Below are 18,655 nucleotides of genomic sequence, written 5' to 3'. Positions count from 1 at the left end.
CCTTGATAATTGGTAAGTTGCTAACCTTCAGTTTACCTGCTTTTCTCTTAAGTGGTAAATCCTGCAACTACTTACTCATCTGCTTCACAGAATTTGTAGTGTAATTGTCTTAAGAATTAAACTAAAAATAATTCTTTTTTAATTAAACACATGCATCTGTAATGTTGCTTTTTTCTAAAGTCCCTGACAATCCTAATCACTAATCAACTTGAGTGTAATTACCTGGCTGTAAAATAATGAATCTCAAAATTTTCACATGATTACTTGCATTATGAGAACAGAAAATAAAGAGAGGCTGGGCGCAGTGGCTCATGCCTGTAATCCCAGCACTTTGGGAGGCAGAGGCAGGTGTATCATGAGGTCAGGAGTTTGAGACCAGCCTGGCCAACATAGTGAAATCCTGTCTCTACTGAAAATCCAAAAAAAATGAGCCGGGCTTGGTGGTGAGTGCCTATAATCCCAGCTACTCAGGAAGCTGAAGCAAGGAGAATCGCTTGAACCTGGGAGGTGGTGGTTGTAGTGAGCCAAGACCGTGCCACTGCACTCCAGCCTGGGCGACAGTGCGAGACTCTGTCTCAAAAAAAAAAAAAAAAAAGAAAATAACAATCTGTAGTTTCCTCATCAGATTTTTTTTAATGCTTGTCATTTTAAATTTTCTTTTATCAGATCTTAGCTGTGCATTTGTTGCAAGCAGTCCTTCCGTCATGGGACAAGACCGAAAGGGCGAGGGACATGAAATGCCTCATGGAGAAGCTGTTTGACTTCTTGGGGAGCTTGCTCACTATGTGCTCCTCTGACGTGCCGTTACTCAGAGGTGGGTGGCCGTCTCCCTTCCCTGTACCCTGGTGAAGAGCGGTGCAGTGCCGTCACTCAGAGGTGGGTGGCCGTCTCCCTTCCCTGTGTCCTGGTGAAGAGCCGTGTAGTGCCATCACTCAGAGGTGGGTGGCCGTCTCCCTTCCCTGTACCCTGGTGAAGAGCGGTGCAGTGCCGTCACTCAGAGGTGGGTGGCCGTCTCCCTTCCCTGTGTCCTGGTGAAGAGCCGTGTAGTGCCATCACTCAGAGGTGGGTGGCCATCTCCCTTCCCTGTGTCCTGGTGAAGAGCGGCGCAGTGCCGTCACTCAGAGGTGAGTGGCCGTCTCCCTTCCCTGTGCCCTGGTGAAGAGTGGTGCAGCAGCTTCTCCCCTGGTTTCCTCCTCAGAGTCCACGCTGAGGCGGCGCAGGGTGTGCCCGCAGGCCTCGCTGACTGCCACCCACAGCAGCACACTGGCGGAGGAGGTGGTGGCACTGCTGCACACGCTGCACTCCCTGACTCAGTGGAATGGGCTCATCAACAAGTACATCAACTCCCAGCTCCGCTCCATCACCCACAGCTTTGCGGGAAGGCCTTCCAAAGGGGTGGGTTTGTGTTCTCAGAATTAATTTAGTTGAACAGTAAACCTGTAGGGATTGGGCAGCTCCGTGAGTGTCCCCGGTCGAGCTCGCTGTTTGGTCTGCACTAGGCCCAGTTAGAGGACTACTTCCCTGATTCCGAGAACCCTGAAGTGGGGGGCCTCATGGCGGTCCTGGCTGTGGTTGGAGGCATCGATGGTCGCCTGTGCCTGGGCGGCCAAGTTGTGCACGATGACTTTGGAGAAGTCACCATGACTCGCATCACCCTGAAGGGCAAAATCACCGTGCAGTTCTCTGACATGCGGACGTGTCACGTTTGCCCATTGAATCAGCTGAAACCAGTAGGTGAACTTGTGCTTAGTTACTGCATGATAAGGGAAATTGACTTTACACTAGAACCGAGCACCAACATCAGCACTTGAAAGAACTTGATTCTGGTACTTGAAGTTTGCCTTCCAGGAAGCTGTGTGAGCTTGTGCTTCTGTGGTAAGCAGGGCCTGTCTCACAGGGCACTTAAAGCAGTGGTTCGTGTGTATTTCAGCCTCAGAGACACGAAGAGGGCTTTAGCAACCTAGAAGGTACCGTGCATCTATGAGGTAGTTCTAATTATTTTAAAATGTGAATTTATGAAGTTTACTTTTTATTCAACAACTCAAGTTTTAAAAAAACAAACATGTTTAAACACCTTTAAAAAAACAGCCTTTCTTCATGTAGAAAATGCTTAGTAGTTTTGAGTGACGTGACTTAATGTAGCAGCTACTGTCATCTTAATCTGTGAATCAAGGATGCACAGGGAGAAGGAGCCATTTACATTATTTTCATGTAGCCCAAGTGCAATCTTACTATATATTCTTTTTCTTTTTTATTTTGAGATGGAGTCTTGCTCTTGTCACCCAGGCTGGAGTGCAATGGCACAATGTTGTCGGCCCTCTGCAACCTTTGCCTCCCGGGTTCAAGCGATTCTCCTGCCTCAGCCTCCTGAGTGGCTGGGATTACGGTGTGTGCCACCACGCCTGGCTAATTTTGTATTTTTAGTAGAGATGGGGTTTCACTATGTTGGCCGGGCTGGTCTCAAACTCCTGACCTCAGGTGATCCGCCCGCCTTGGCCTCCCAAAGTGCTGGGATTACAGGCGTGAGCCACCGTGCCCGGCCTGACTATATTTTCTATAAAGTACTCTTTTTTATTATTATAGGAATATATACATGTTGTAGAAAACTTGAAGTATATAGAAAATATCTGAGAAGATAGTAACCACCACACTGATGTAATTATTGTTGACAGGTTTGTAAAGAAAAATTAATATAGATTATACTTATTATATGTGTAAATCTCTATCCTGCCTTTAATGTCATTTTAAAAAATGATTATTCTCAGCTATAAAAAGGCTTACGGGTATGTGTGGCATTTCAGGATTAAGCCCATGGTTTTGATGACTTTCAGAACGTTTCATTTGTTAGTCATATTGGCCACACTCTGACAGCTTCTGTGTCCTCTCCAGCTCCCTGCCGTGGCCTTTAATGTGAACAACCTGCCCTTCACAGAGCCCATGCTGTCTGTCTGGGCTCAGTTGGTGAACCTCGCTGGAAGCAAGTTAGAAAAGCACAAAATAAAGAAATCGACTAAACAGGCCTTTGCAGGTCAGTACATGGCGCTTCTTGATGAAATAGCTGCCGTCTTAAACTCGTGTCGTTTGTACAGTGTTCTTTTATGAGTGAATTCACGGACGTACTAAAGTCCTGGGGTTCACGTGGGCTCACCATTTGTTGAGTTGCGGTTGGGAATGTAACCCTGTGTTCGTGGTAATGAGTATTTTCGAGTCAGCCTTTGTCGCCATGTTCGGAGCCACACTTGAAGAACCCCATGGCTCACACCCTCTTCTCCGTGTCACCCTTTATCCCGGAAGAGAAGTCTGTTCACCTCTTCCCTCCTCCCCTCCATCCCAGGGCCCTGTGGCCCCGTCACCCTGTTGGACCATGGCTCACAGCCTGTTCTCTGCCGGATCCAGGGGCCTCTGTCCCGGAAGCGCCTGGCTTGCCTGTGACATTCAGGATGGCTAAGACTGTGACTGTAGCCTGGCTTGGCTTTGCCTTCCTTCAGGTCTAGAATGCGGCTCTCCTGAGTTTGTTTCCATGTTTCTAGGGAGCTCTTCTCTCTGCTCATTCTTTATGTCCTGGAAGTCTGTGTGGTTTCACCCATAACTATGGCATATTCTGCCCAGTCTTCTTGAGTTTTCTCCCCTCTTGCTCCCACAGACCTACGATTGCTGCTTCAGCATATATGATGTAAGCACTTTCAACTCTGGATCTCCCATTCACATCTCTGGTTGGAGGTGCAGTGCATGCAAATCATCAGATGTCCGAAATTCAGCTGGCTGGCTTTCTCTAGTAGCTGCCGTTTCCCATCGTGGTGAATAAAACTGTCTGCCAGTTAGTTGAGCCAGTGTCCGAGCAGCACCTGCGGCCCTCCTTCCTTCCCACCCCATGCTCTCTGTGCTGCTTCTGCGGCCTCTGCTATCAGATAAGCCTTGGGCATTGCTGCGATCTTCATCAGTTAAAGAGCTAGTGGGGCTGACAGATTCTCTCAGAGGAGTCTTAGAAGAAGAGTGGAAGCGGCTGAAACTTCAGCAACTTGGGGAACATTTGATCATATTAATAGTAGCTAACATGGTTCTAACCGTGTTAAACCCATTGAATCCTGCGTCCTATCAAGTTAGGTGCCTGGAGAGCAGGGAAGGAAGACCCAGGAGGCAGAAGATGCTTACCCAGAAGCACCGAGTGTAACTCTGGGAAAGGCAAGCCCTTCGTCACGGACAGTGTGTGCGGTCGGCAGATTCCTGAAGGGCAGAGCGTTACTCGTCGCCATGTGGCGGAGGCTTGCTGCTGGCGAGGAGGGAGTCTGAGCAGGGCACGCCCTTCTCACTGAGTCTTTCCTTCCGCAGGACAAGTGGACCTGGACCTGCTGCGGTGCCAGCAGTTGAAGCTATACATCCTGAAAGCAGGTCGGGCGCTGTTCTCCCACCAGGATAAACTGCGGCAGATCCTGTCTCAGCCAGCTGTTCAGGAGACTGGAACTGTTCACACAGGTGTCTTTTTAAAAAGTTCTTAAATCTTTATAAGAAGGGCAGTAGAAAGTAGACAAAGGAAGTGAATAATCAGTTCATAAAAATGGACATAGGTGGCTTATAAATGTACAAAACAGACACGTGGCCTGCCCAGCAACCACCAACTGTGAATAAAATTGTCATCGTCATCTTATAAGACAAGACTGAGGGCATCTGGTGGGTGGGGAGGGAAAAAGGTATTTTCATGCCTTCCCATTTAAAGTTTGCTGCATGGGTCAGCAAGATTGGTGGCACACAGGTATGTGTTAGAAATGCAGACTCCCAGGCCGCACCCCAGACCAAAGAAATAGAGCCTGTATTGTAACAAGATGAACCTAAGCTGGTTCTTCAAATGCGCGTAAAGCCGCACTCCATGAACACGCTGCTGCTGGGAATTTCAGTTGGTGTAGCCATCTAATGGGCGTCTGAGGAAATGAGTTGGACTTTGAAATGCATAGATGTATGTATGTATTTATATACTTTGGCCCAGCAAGTCATTCTGTGGGACTTTATCACACGAAAAGGCATGTAAAGATAATGTATTCACCACCTGGGCACAGTGGCTCATGCCTGTAATCCCAGCACTTTGGGAGGCCGAGGCGGGCGGATCACGAGGTCAGGAGATAGAGACCATCCTGGCTAACACGGTGAAACCCCATCTCTGCTAAAAATACAAAACATTAGCTGGGCAAGGTGGCAGACGCCTGCAGTTCTAGCTACTTGGGAGGGTGAGGCAGGAGAATGGCATGAATCTGTGAGGCGGAGCTTGCAGTGAGCCGAGATGGCGCCACTGCACTCCAGCCTGGGCAACAGAGCAAGACTCTGTCTCAAAAAAAAAAAAAAAAAAAAATTGGCGGGGCATAGTGGTGGCTGCATGTAATGCCAGCTACTTGGGAGGCTGAGGCAGGAGAATCACTTGAACCGGGGGGTGCGGAGGTTGCCGTGTGTGCGGATTGCAGGGTGCAGATTGTGCCACTGCACTCCAGCCTGGGTGACAGAGTGAGACTTCGTCTCAAAAAAAATAATAAATAAAAATAATGTATTCAACAGTGTCGTTATGGCCTCCTTTTTGGTATTGTTTTTGTATTGAAAAACTGTAGACACCAAAATACCCATTCTTATGTTGTGTATCCGTACAGTGTGATATCATGGTGCCATTCAAAATGATGGTACATGTATAGTCTTCCCTCAATATCCATGGGGATGAGTTCCAAGACCCCCAGTTATACCAGAATTCACTAATGCTTAAGGCCCTTCTATAAAATGGTGTAGTATTTGCATATAACCTATGCACATCCTCCGAAATACTTTAAAAATATAAATGATATATAGGCTGGGTGCGGTGGCTCACGCCTGTAATCCCAGCACTTTGGGAGGCTGAGGTGGGCAGATCACGAGGTCAGGAGATTGAGACCATCCTGGCTAACACAGTGAAACTCCATCTCTACTAAAAATACAAAAAATTAGCTGGGCGTGGTGACGGGTGCCAGTAGTCCCAGCTACTTGGGAGGCTGAGGCAGGAGAATGGCATGAACCCAGGAGGCGGAGCTTGCAGTGAGCCGAGATCGTGCCACTGCACTCCAGCCTGGGTGACAGAGCGAGACTCTGTCTCAAAAAAATAAATAAATAAATAAAAATAAAATAAAATAAATGATATGTAAATAGTTGTTATTGCTATTCTTTTTAAAATTATATTTTAAAAAATTGTTTTATTCTGAATATTTTTGATGTGTGGTTTGTTGAATCTTTGGATGCAGAACCCATGGATACGGAGGGCTAGCTGTATATGTTTATTGCTGTGGAAACATGAAAACAATAAGTGAACAGAAAAGCACACTGCTATGTATATCCGTTTATAGATATGCCATAGTTATCTGTTTAGCAAAACAGTGACCCAGTAATCTTTGGTGGAATTTTGGCTGTCTTTATTTTCTTTATATTTCTCTATATTTAGTTTTCTAGAATGAGCTTGTGTTACTTTTAATAGAAAAAAACATTTTTTGATCTCCAACTATTGAAAGACATTATGCTAAGTCTTTTGCGGAGAAGTCCTTTTCTATGATCATTGCTCTCTAGGGTTTGGATGAGGAGAGGAAGTGAATGCAGATGGCTCTCTTTGTTCTCTGGGGCCAGGGGGCGGTGAGGCATGTGAGTGGTTCCACAGGCGTCTGGAGCCAGTGGCAGCTGAGCACTGGACGGGCAGCCTTTGAAGGCTGTGGCAGACAGATGCCAGCAGACAAGCACTCTGCTGGTGGTGGAGGCAGGAGGAGAGGAGTGAACGTGGTGAGTCTTTGGAAGCACGTTGAGCAGCTCTCCTCTTCTTGGAGCTCAGGGTTTTTCGATGAGTGGTGGGGCTGAAGCTAGATGGGCAGCTGACATCCTGTTACAGAGTACCTGGGAGACCAGGGTGAAACTTGAGGCCCACTTGGAAAGCTGTGGTAGGGGCCACATGGTAAGCATTGACCTTCGGGTGATACACCTGCTAGGAAGGTATAGGAGTATCTGAAACAGGAGATGACAGAGATGGAGAATTGCTCCTGCGTCAGGTGATGAGGGGGAAGGCATGAAAAGGGAAAGAAGGTTCTGGTGGAAGGAAGGTGCCATCCACTGTGATGGTGTAGTCTTGTAGATGATAACTTTATGGGGAACCAGCAAAAAGTGGAAGGTGACTGCTGTTTCAAGCTTGAGTTGAGGGAGGAATATTGAGTAGTGTGTTTGAAACAAATAAGTCCAGTAGAATGTGGAGTGTGTGCGTTTGCTTCTTAAGAGGAGAGGATGCTATGAAATTAATTTTAAACCTGCTGAGGATGAAAGAAATCAATTGAAAGTATAGAATCAATTAATAGTAGAGGTCGTAGGGAACATGAAGATTTCCCAGTTGTAGAGATTGGGAGATTGGAGCCTGGGAATTGGATTGGCTGTTCTGTTCTGCACTCAGCCCGATGAGCAATTACAGCAGACCTGAATCAGGATGATCAAGTCTGTGCTTTGGGCCGAGCAGGGACTCCGAACAGAGCTAGATTGACAAAACTGCCGTGCACCTGTTTTTGTAAATTTTTATGGGAACACAGGCACACCACTTGTTTACACATCGTCTCTGGATGCTTTTGCTCTGCAATGGCAGAGCTGAGTAGTTGGGACAGAGACTGTACAGCCCATCAGCCTAAACTATTTACTCTCTGGCCCTTTAAGAGAAAGATTTCCAGCTCCTGGTCTAGTTAGTTGAAATTGTCACTGAAGAAAACCAGCACATGCAAATGCTGTGAGTACCTGGATGAGTACCTAGATGTGTGAAGTGGGCTTGAGCGCAGTGGATCTCCCTGGGGCTGTGTCAAACAGAGTCCTAAAGGCTGCACCTAAAGCTACTCATAACAGACAAAAAGCCATCACCCTGAGCACATGACACATTTGGAATTGGGGTCACTTAATGATCTCAACAAGGCTTAGCTGGAAAAGCTACAGCTAGAAATATGCACGTGGGATGTGTCTGTGTCAGGGGTTACTGAAGCCGTGAGTGAACATGAAAGAGAGTGTGTAGGTCAGGCATGGTGGCTTACGCCTGTAATCCCAACACTTTGGGATGCCGAGGCGGGTGGATCAGGAGTTGGAGACCAGCCTGGCCAACATGGTGAAATCTAATCAACAGCCTGGCCCCATCTATACTAAAAATACAAAAATTAGCTAGGCGTGGTAGCATGTGCCTGTAGTCCCAGCTACAGGGAAGGCTGATGCAGGAGAATCACTTGAGCCAGGAGGCAGAGGTTGCAGTTTGCCAAGATTGTGCCACTGCACTCCAGCCTGGGCAACAGAGTGAGACTCCATCTCAAGAAAAAGAGAAAGAATCAGACCAAGTGCAGAAATCTGGGAAGGAGCATTTGCTGGCTCTAAGAGACAGATGCACTAATGAAGGACAGAGACCAAAAGCAGGCAGTGAAAGTGGTTTAGAGTCTAGTTCCTTTTTTTTTTTTTTTTTGAGATGGAGTCTCGCTCTGTTGCCAGGCTGGAGTGCAGTGGCGTGATCTTGGCTCACTGCAACCTCCAACTCCCTGGTTCAAGCAATTCTCCTGCCTTAGCCTTGCGAGTAGCTGGGATTACAGGCACGCACCACCATGCCCAGCTAATTTTTTTTTTTTTTTTTTTTTTTGAGACCGAGTCTTGGTCTGTCGCCCAGGCTGGAGTGCAGTGGCGTGATCTCGGCTCACTGCAAGCTACGCCTCCCAGGTTCATGCCATTCTTCTGTGTCAGCCTCCCAAGTAGCTGGGACTACAGGTGCCCACCACCATGCCCGGCTAATTTTTTTGTGTTTTTAATAAAGATGAGGTTTCACTGTGTTAGCCAGGATGGTCTCGATCTCCTGACCTCGTGATCCACCCGCCTTGGCCTCCCAAAGTGCAGGGATTACACGCGTGAGCCACCGCACCCAACCTAGAGTCTAGTTTTTGTTCGATGTCTGAACCTTGAAGATTTTGGTTTTCTATCACATAATGAGGCAGAAGTCATACCTGATTTAACATGCTTAATGCATTTTCTTTAATAGTAAAGTGGTGTTCACAGTTGAAAATAGAATCTTACACATATTTTGTTTTTAAATTCAGATGATGGAGCAGTGGTATCACCTGACCTTGGGGACATGTCTCCTGAAGGGCCGCAGCCCCCCATGATCCTCTTGCAGCAGCTGCTGGCCTCGGCCACCCAGCCGTCTCCTGTGAAGGCCATATTTGATAAACAGGAACTTGAGGTACAGCCATGCAGCCTTGACAGTTTTTAATCCACAGCACTAAATTGTGAACACTTTTTTTCTAGATGTATATTTTCTTAAGGATCTATTCTGAATGTTAAATGATAGTACGCAAATAATTCTAATGATTCATTGGGGTTTAACCATGTTTGTGCATAGTCTGCAGAACATTATAATACTAAAGACTGAGAGGGTTGAAGTTTAACCTTATTTTGGGTTTGTGTAAATTGTGAAAAAATATTAACTAGATGCAGCATGGGTTAAACGCTCACATCTTCATGAAGGGATCTTTTTCCAGGAAGTAGAATTATTCAAAGAGGCTCGTCAGGACTCTGGCAGCCGTTTGTCTGTTTCATTCACTCAGGAGCCTCTTGGGGGTGCTCTGGTGCCGCCAGCCTCTCCGCTCTCTCCATGCTGTGGAGCAGGTGAGGGCAGCAGCGAGGCACAGGGTCAGGGCTACGGGACGTTCGCATAGAGGAGGCGACGTGATTGAGTGTAAGAGGGATGGGAGCTTTCATGGCTGGCAACATAGAGGATTAGAGATGTTCATTCCAAAATCTTTCTTGCTGTGTAATACATTAAAAATCTGGACAAAATATCAGAGACAAAAATAAAACTATCAGTACTCAGTTTGGCAATCAGAAATTACTCTAACAGAAACCCTCAGATAGCAGGGCCCTTCTTGGGAGCAAGGGTCCAGATGAGGCAGCCACTGCCTTGGACAGGTGGGAGGCCTCCCCCAGTCCTAGAACGAGCTGGAAAGATGGTGGGGGTGCAAAGGGAGAAAGCAAGAAACGGGTGTGGGCAGGAAGGGAGGAGGTTGGCCGTGAGCTCTTCTGAACTCCAGCTTCTTCTCAGGTCTGGGAACCTCTGAGGTGAAGGTTCATTTTAAAGGGCCTGGTTGTGTTTCCAGTCTCCCTGGCAGAGATCAAAAGACGCTGAGCAACTTGAGAGCACGTGGGGCGGTGCACGTGCTCCCTGCAGTCATGCTGGGAGATGCCGAGTGTGAACACCTAGAAGGCCGTGTAGAGTTGTTCTTCAGGAACTGAGAAGGACTGTTGTACAAAAAAAGACCTTCCGCTGTTTTGTCTCCATGGATTCCGATGGAGAGTCGTTGTTCTCATCTCTTCTTTTGTATGAAATGTCTGTTTTCTCTGGTTGCTTTTCGTATTTTGTGTTATCTTTGGTTTTCTGCAGTTTCCCTAAGCTGGGCTCATGTATGCAATGGTGGCCCACCCCGCCCACCCCACCATCCTCCTTGAAATTTATTTAAGCTGCTTGCATCTTTGGCTTGATTTTTGTTCCCCTACCAAATTTGGAAACTTTTGACTGCTGTTTTTTTCCCCGTCTTGCTCTTTTTGTTCTTTTCTGGAAATACTATTATACATCTGTTACACGGTTAGTGAGTTTCCTTTTATGACTTTAATAGAAAGTCTTTCTTCTCCTTGTTAGTAGCTTGGTTAGTTTGTCTTGATCTGTTTGAAAGGTCAAGATGCTTTGCTTTGTTGGGCCTGATCTGTTGTTATATCCATCCAAGACATACTTTATTTTATATTTCTCACATCTCTTATTTCCATTTGGCTCTCATTTAATAGTTTTATATCTCTTCTGACAGTTCCTTTCTTCATCCTTTAAGTCTATCTTTATTTTATTTTATTTTTTTTTTTGATGGAGTCTTGCTCTGTCACCAGGCTGGAGTGCAGTGGTGTGATCTCAGCTCACTGCAACCTCTGACTCCTGGGTTCAGGTGATTCTCCTGCCTCAGCCTCCCGAGTAGCTAGGACTACAGGTGCCTGCCACCATGCCTGGCTAATTTTTGTATATTTAGTAGAGATGGGGTTTTACCATGTTGGCCAGGCTGGTCTCGAACTCCTGACCTCATGATCTGCCCGCCTCAGCCTCCCAAAGTGCTGGGATTACAGGTGTGAGCCACCGTGCCTGGCCAAATCTATCTTTTGCTGTACATTTTAAAACATATTTCTGATAGTTATGTTGAATTTCTTGTTTTCTAATTCTAACATCTGCCCACCTGTTGGTCTGCTGCTCTTTGCAGTTTTTTTCCCTTGATTATAGTCAGTTATTGGTTGTTGTCCTTCACATATGAGAATTTTTATTTCATTCTGGATTCTTTGGACGTTACATTGTATTGGCTCTGGGTTCTGCCTCCTGTCTATATACTGTCTGACACTGTCTATATACTGTATTCCCCTTGCCCCTGTGGTTTTCCACGTATGAATTGAGTTTACATTGCTTGGACTATAATTGCTCATCCCTACCACAGTTACTTTATTAGTTTAGCTATACTATTGGGAAGATGATTTTTCATCATGGTTATACAAATTTGTTTATAAGCCTATTTAACTCAAATTTAAATTATGCTGCTGTGGGTAAAAATAGTAACAAGTACTTTTTCATGGATTTCTTCAGAGACTAACTAAAATGATCAATCAGCGTGTCCAAGAAAATATGAGAAAATTTATCTTTCAGAAATGTTTTGTATGAAATTCTCAAATGCTTCAAAGGCTTACAACTTTACATGAAATGATTAAAGACAGATTTAAAAACAAGAACAAAATCCACAATTATTATCCACATTACTTTTGAGTACTGTTAATACAGCCATTACAGAGACCTCCAGATAGAAGGAATGATAGTATCTAAATAATAGAAATAGGATGATTAAGTTGCATTTATTTAAAAACAAGTCTTTTTGGTTGGAAATAGGATGTATAAAAAAGCTCAATACCAAAATTTAGATGAGATGTACATTTATTGGAGAGAATAAAATTGTTGAGATAGTTTTTAACAACAACAAAAAACCCGGAAAGCATACAAAACAAACAAATAAAAACCTGAATTAGAGCTTTGGACTTCCTCAAATCACATTATTTGTAGTGGATTGGTTGACTCCATTTTAAGATAGAGGAGACGAACAAGATGGCCGACTAGACACAGCCAGGAAGTGCCACTCCTCTCAAGAGAGGCCAAATTATTAGGTAAACCACCATAATTTGAACAGGTATTCAAGGAGAAAATGCTGAAAGTGGATGGAGAGGCAAGGTCGAAGCCAAGACTGAAGAGGCAGGAAGCTGGAAACCCTGAGTTAGCTACCCAAATGCCAGGGCTAATTCCTGGCCCCAAACAATTCCAGTAAAGGACTGAATGAAGGAACTGAGGGATGGTTCACTCTTGCCATGAGCATTTGATTTTCTAGCTACAAGGGACCTTACGCGACCATGGATGTGTGAGCTGGCAGGGGGATCTCCCTAGGGAGCAGGCAGAGACAGACTTTGGACAGCACAGAGCCCAGGAGCTTTTGTGTGCTGGACTGCTGCAGGCAAGAGCAGCCATAGATGCCCATTCCCCAGGGATTTCCATTCTCCTCTGGGAGGCATGGACCCCTACTGACCTCCAAGCCAGGAGAGAGTTGGGCCAGCTTTCCTGCACGACTGGGGTGCATCTACTCTGCAAGCCCTTCTGCCTACCAGCCCTTCCCAGGGTCCATGCCTAGCTGCCCTGTAGGAGCAGGTGCATAGTGCAGCCCTGGAAGGTCAGCCTGAGTGTGTAGTTGCACCCACATATTTTCTTCATGACCCTGGAGCACACTGTATCCCCCAGTGCAGCAAGAACCCAAACCCAAGCCATGGGATATCCCAGTGTCCCCAGGGCTGTAGTGTGCAGCTTGGGAGTATGGAACCAAGATTTGTGGCTGGCACTCAAACAGAGAAAGAGGCCCCAATCTCAGAGCCGTGAGAGGGGTGAGATGCACGGATTCCTGAGCTGGGGTAAGAGTGGAACATGCCTCCCTTCTCAGGTCCAGTCCAAAAAGCATGTGGCATATCTCCCTGCCACAGCTTCTGCCCAAGAAGACCATGTGGCTCAGAAAAACTAACAAAAGAAATGTGGGCACAGCACCAGCTATCAGAGGGAGCTCTCTCAAGTTTTACAAGCAGATCTGTTGAGGGAACCGTATCACTCCATATCACTGCAGAGCATATCTGTGAACTCAAGAAGTACAAAAAAGCCCTGTGACCAGGTATTAACCTAGCTACCAGTCATTACTGTTAAACCTCATTCACTGGATTGCCACCCAAACTACAACACCTAAATTTTATTCTGCTAATATATACAGCTGTGAAACCAAGTCAAAAATTTACCCACACATAAAGATTCTGTAAGAGCCCTGGGCCTCTAAAAGCATTCAGAAATTAAGCCAACTGACTATTCTCAACTTACACCACAGTTAAAGAAATGCCAACCCTCCCAGATGAGAAAGAATTAGCACAAGAACTCTGGCAATCCAAAAAGTCAGAGTGTACCCTCACTTCCAAATGATCCACTAGCTCCCCAGCAATGGTTTCTAACCAGTCTGAAATGACTGACATAACAGACACAGAATGCAGAATCTGTGGCCAGGAAACCCATTGAGATTCAGGAGAAAGTGAAATTCAGTGCAAGGAATTCAAATAATTTAGTAAAGCAATCCAAGAGCTGAATGATAAAATAGCCATTTTCAGAAATAACCAAACTTAAATTCTAGAGCTGAAAAACTCATTATCAGAATTTTATCAAATAATCAGTAGTATTAGCAGCAGAATAGACCAAGCTGAGGAAATAATCTCAAAACTTGAAGACTTGTTCTTTAAGTCAACTCAGACAAAAATAAGGAAAAAAATGGGAAAAAAAAGTGAAACCTCCAAGAATATGGGATTTTGTAAAGCGAAAAAATCTATGACTCATTGTCATTCCTGAGAGAGGAGAGAGAATACGCAACTTGGAAAATATATTTGAAGATACACTTCATGAAAATTCCTCTTATCTCTTTAGGGAGATTTACATACAAATCCAAGAAACACGCAGAACCCCAGATAGATATGACATGAAATGACTACCTCCAAGGCACATAGTACAATATTCATCAAGGTCAACACTAAAGAAAAAAGTCTTAAAGGCAGGGTAAAGTCACATACAAGGAACTTCATCAGGCTAGCAGCAGACCTCTCAGCAGGTATCTTACAAGTCAGAAGAGATTGGTAGCTTATTTTCAGCATCCTTAAAGAAAATAAATTTTAACCAATAATTTCATATCCCACCAAACTAAGCTTAAAAGTGAAGTGAAGCAAATGCTAAGGGAATATGTTTCAACTAGACTAGCCATACAAGAGGTCCTTAAGGGAGTGCTAAACATGGAAAAGAAAGAATGACAGTCATACCACAAAAGCTCATTTAACCACATAGCACACAGGCGCCATAAAGCAACCACATAATCAAGTCTACATAACAATCAGCTAGCAACATGATGACAGAATTAAAATCACAGATACCAATACTAACCTTGAATGTAAATGGGCTAAATGCTCCACTTAAGAGACACAGAGTGGCAGGCTGGATAAATGACCCAACCATCTGTTATCTTCAAGAGACCTATTTCACATTAAGAACAACCACAGGCTCACAGCAAAAGAATGGAGAAAGAGCTACCATGTGAACAGAAAGCAAAAAAGAGCAGAAGTTGCTATTCTTATATAAAATAGACTTTAAACCAATAAAAATTAAGAACAATGAAGGGCATTACATAATGATAAAGGGTACAATCAAACAAGAAACCTTAACTGTACTAAATATATATACACTCAATATTGGAGCACCCAGATTCATAAAACAAGTTCTTCATTGCCCATGAAAACACTTAGACAACCAAACAATAACAGCAGGAGACTTCACCACCCCACTGACAGCACTAAACAGATCATTAAGGAAGAAAACTAACAAACTCTGGACATAAACTCAACACTTTAACAATTGGACCTAATAGACATCTACAAAATACCCCAGGTAATATCCACAGAATATATATTCTTCCCAGCTGCACATGGAACATATTCTAAGATCAACCACGTGCTTAATCATAAAGCAAGTCTCAATAAATTCAAAAAATTGAAATTATACCAAGCAAACTCTTGGACCACAGTGAAATAAAAATAGAAATCAAAATCAAGAAGACCTCTCAAAACTACACAAATATAGGGAAATTAAACAACTTACTCCTGAATAACTCTTAGGTGAACATCAAAATAAAGGTAGATTTAAGAAAAATTCTTTGAAATATTGAAAACAGGAATATGACTTACCAAAATCTTTGAGATGCAGCCAAAGCAGTGTTAAGAGGAAAGTTTATTTCCCTAAATACAGTAATCGAGAAGTTAGAAAGATCTCAATTTAGCAATCTAACTTTGCACCTAAAGGAACTAGAAAAGAAAAAGCTAGCAGAAGAAAAAAATAACTAAAATTAGAGAACTTACTGAAATTGAGATAGAAAAATCCGTAGAAAAAATAATAAAAAAGCAAGAGTTTGTTCTTTGAAAAGATGAATAGACTGCTATTTAACGGCTAGATTTACAATGAAAAAAAGAGAAGATAAGTATAGTCAGAAATAACAAAGATAATATAACTGATCCCACAGAATTACAAAAGTTTCCCATAGAATACCATGAACAACTCTATGCATACAAATTAGAAAATCTGTAGATGAAATTGATAAATTCTTAGAAACACACAGTCTCTAATTGAATCAGGAAAAGATTGAAGCATTGAATAGTGAAATATCTCACTCTGAAATTGAATCATATGTAATAAAAAAAAACTACCACCAACCAAAAAAGTCCTAGACCAGATGGATTCACAGTCAAATTCTACCAGATATACAAAGAAAAACTGGTACCAATTCTACTGAAGCTATTACAAAAAAAGGAGGGAATCCTTTCAAACTCAATCTCTGGCAGAAACACAATGAAGAAAGAAAACTTGAGGCCAATGTCCATGATGAACACAGACAAAAAATTCTCAACAAAATATTGATAAACTGAATCCAGCAGCATATAAAACAGTTAATTCACCACGATAAAGTAGGCTTTATTCCTGGGATGCAAGGTTGGATCAACATATGCAAATCAATAAATATGATTCGCCACATAAGCAGATTTAAACACAAAAACTATCTGATCATCTCAAAAAATGCAGAAAAACTTCAATAAAATTCAACATCACTTCATGATAAAAACCCTCAACAAACTAGACATCAAAATAATATGACTCAAAATAATAAGAGTCGTCTATAGCAAACCCAGAGCCAACATTATACTGAATGGGCAAAAGCTGGAAACATTCCCCTGGAGAACTGAAAAAAAGGCAAGCACTCTGACCATTTCATATTCAACGTAGTAGTGGAAGTCAGAGCCAGAGCAATCAAGCAGGAGAAAGGCTACTGGAACTAATAAATGATTTTAGCAAAGTTCCATGATACAAAATCAATGTAGAAAACATCAGTACCATTTATATGTGCCAATAACATCCAGGCTGAGAGTCATATTAAGAACACAATCACATTTACAATAACCACAAAGAAAATGAAACAGCTGAGAGTACAGGTAACCAAGAAGGTGAAAAATCTCTACAAGGAGAACTAGAAAACAATGCTGAAAGAAATCAGGTGACATAAATAAGTGGGAAAACATTCCATACTCATGGGATGTTTTAATGTTTCATAGAAATGAAAAATCAATATCACTGAAATGGCCATACTGCCCAAAGCAATTTACAGATGCAATGCTATTCCTATCAACCTATCATAGAATTAGAAAAACTATTCTAAAATTTATGTGGAACCAAAAAAGAGCCCAAATAGCCAATGCAAACCTAAGCAAAAAGAACAAAGCTGGAGGCCTTACACTATCAACTTCAAACAATAAGGCTACAGTGAAAAAACAGCATAGTGCTGATACAAAAACAGACACATAGACTAATGGAACAGAATAGAAAGCTAAAATATAAAGCTGCTCACTTACAACCATCTGATTTTCGACAAGGTCAATGAAAACAAGCAATAGGGAAAGGATTTGCCATTTGATAAATGTTTCAGGTTAACTGGCTTGCCATAAGCAGAAAAATGAAACCAAATTCTTATCTTTCACTAATACAAATATTTACTCAAGATGGATTAAATATTTAAATGTAAGATCTCAAACTATAAAAGCACTAGAGTAAAACCTAGGAAATACTCATGTCAACACTGGCCTTGGCAAATAATTTTTGGCTAAGTCCCCAAGCAATTGCAACAAAAACAAAAATTGACAAGTGATACCTAATTAAACTAAACAGCTTCTGCACAGCAACAGAATAAGCAGACAACCTATGGAATGGGAGAAAATATTCATTAACTATGTATCTGTATTAGTCTGTTTTTACACTGCTTATAAAGCATTACTTGAGACTGAGTAATTTATTTAAAAAAAAAAAAAGATGAGGTTTAATTGACTCCCAGTTCCCCATGGCTGGATAGGACTCAGGAAACTTACAGTTATGGCAAAAGGTCAAGGGGAAGAAGGCACTTCTTACCTGGTGGTAGGAGACAGAGAGCAAGAAAACAAGGAAGTGCCACACTTTAAAACCATCAGCTGTTGTGAGAATTCACCCACTGTCATGAGAACATCATGGGGGAAACTGCCCCCATAATCCAATCACCTTCCACCAGGTCCCTCCTGGGACATGTGGGGATTACATTTTGAGATGAGATTTGCGAGTGTCACAGAGCAAAACCATATCAGCATCCAACAAAGGTCTAATATTCATAATCTACTTAAATCAACAGATTAAAAGCAAATAACTCCATTAAAAAATGGACAAAGGACATGGACAGGCACTCCTCAATAGAAGACATATAAATGGTCAACAAGCATGAAAAAAACGCTCATCATCGCTAATCATCAGAGAAATGCAAATCAAAACCACAATGAGGTACCATCTTACACCAGTCAGAATGACTATTATTAAAGAGTCAAAAAACAACAGATGGTAAAGGGAATCCTCATTTGTAGTTTGTAGGAATGTAAATTAGTTCAGCCACTGTAAAAGGCAGTCTGGAGATTTCTCAAAGAACTTAAAACAAGGCTACCATTGAACCCAGTCATCCTATTTCTTGGTATGTACTCAAAGGAACATAGATCATTCTACCAAAAGACACATGCATATAGATGTGCATCACAGCTCTATTCACAATAGCAAAGACATGGATTAACCTAGGTGCCCATCAACAATGAATTGCATAAAGAAAATGTGATACATATACATCATGGAATACCATGCAGCATAAAGTATAATGAAATCATGTCCCATGCAGCAACATAGATGGACCTGGAGGCCATAGTCCTAAGCAAATTAATACAGGAACAAAAAGCAAAACTCCACATATTCCCATGTATATGTTGGAGCTAAACATTAAGCACACATGAAAATTAACATGGGAACAATAGATACTGCACACAACTAGACAGAAAAGGGAGGAAAGTGGCACAGGTTAAAAAACTACCTACTGAGTACTATGCTCACTACTTGGGACCAATATACCCATGTAACAATCCTACACATGTG

At 43.0% G+C, this 18,655-nt stretch overlaps 1 pseudogene across 1 annotated transcript in view; it reads left to right on the top strand.

The window, feature by feature from the left end:
* Window positions 1-18,655, top strand: part of HERC2P3 (HERC2 pseudogene 3) — a 97,785-nt pseudogene that overhangs the window by 65,859 nt on the left and 13,271 nt on the right. The window contains exons 20-25 of the transcript NR_036432.1: window positions 667-814; window positions 1,199-1,395; window positions 1,500-1,730; window positions 2,890-3,028; window positions 4,330-4,473; window positions 9,087-9,229. The product of NR_036432.1 is annotated as an HERC2 pseudogene 3 (transcript). The remainder of the gene's footprint in view (window positions 1-666; window positions 815-1,198; window positions 1,396-1,499; window positions 1,731-2,889; window positions 3,029-4,329; window positions 4,474-9,086; window positions 9,230-18,655) is intronic.

This window comes from Homo sapiens, chromosome 15 (genome assembly GCF_000001405.40).
Source record: "Homo sapiens chromosome 15, GRCh38.p14 Primary Assembly".
Taxonomy (NCBI): domain Eukaryota; kingdom Metazoa; phylum Chordata; class Mammalia; order Primates; family Hominidae; genus Homo; species Homo sapiens.
Note: the sequence above shows the minus strand (reverse complement) of the source record. Positions and strands in the feature narration are given on the sequence as shown.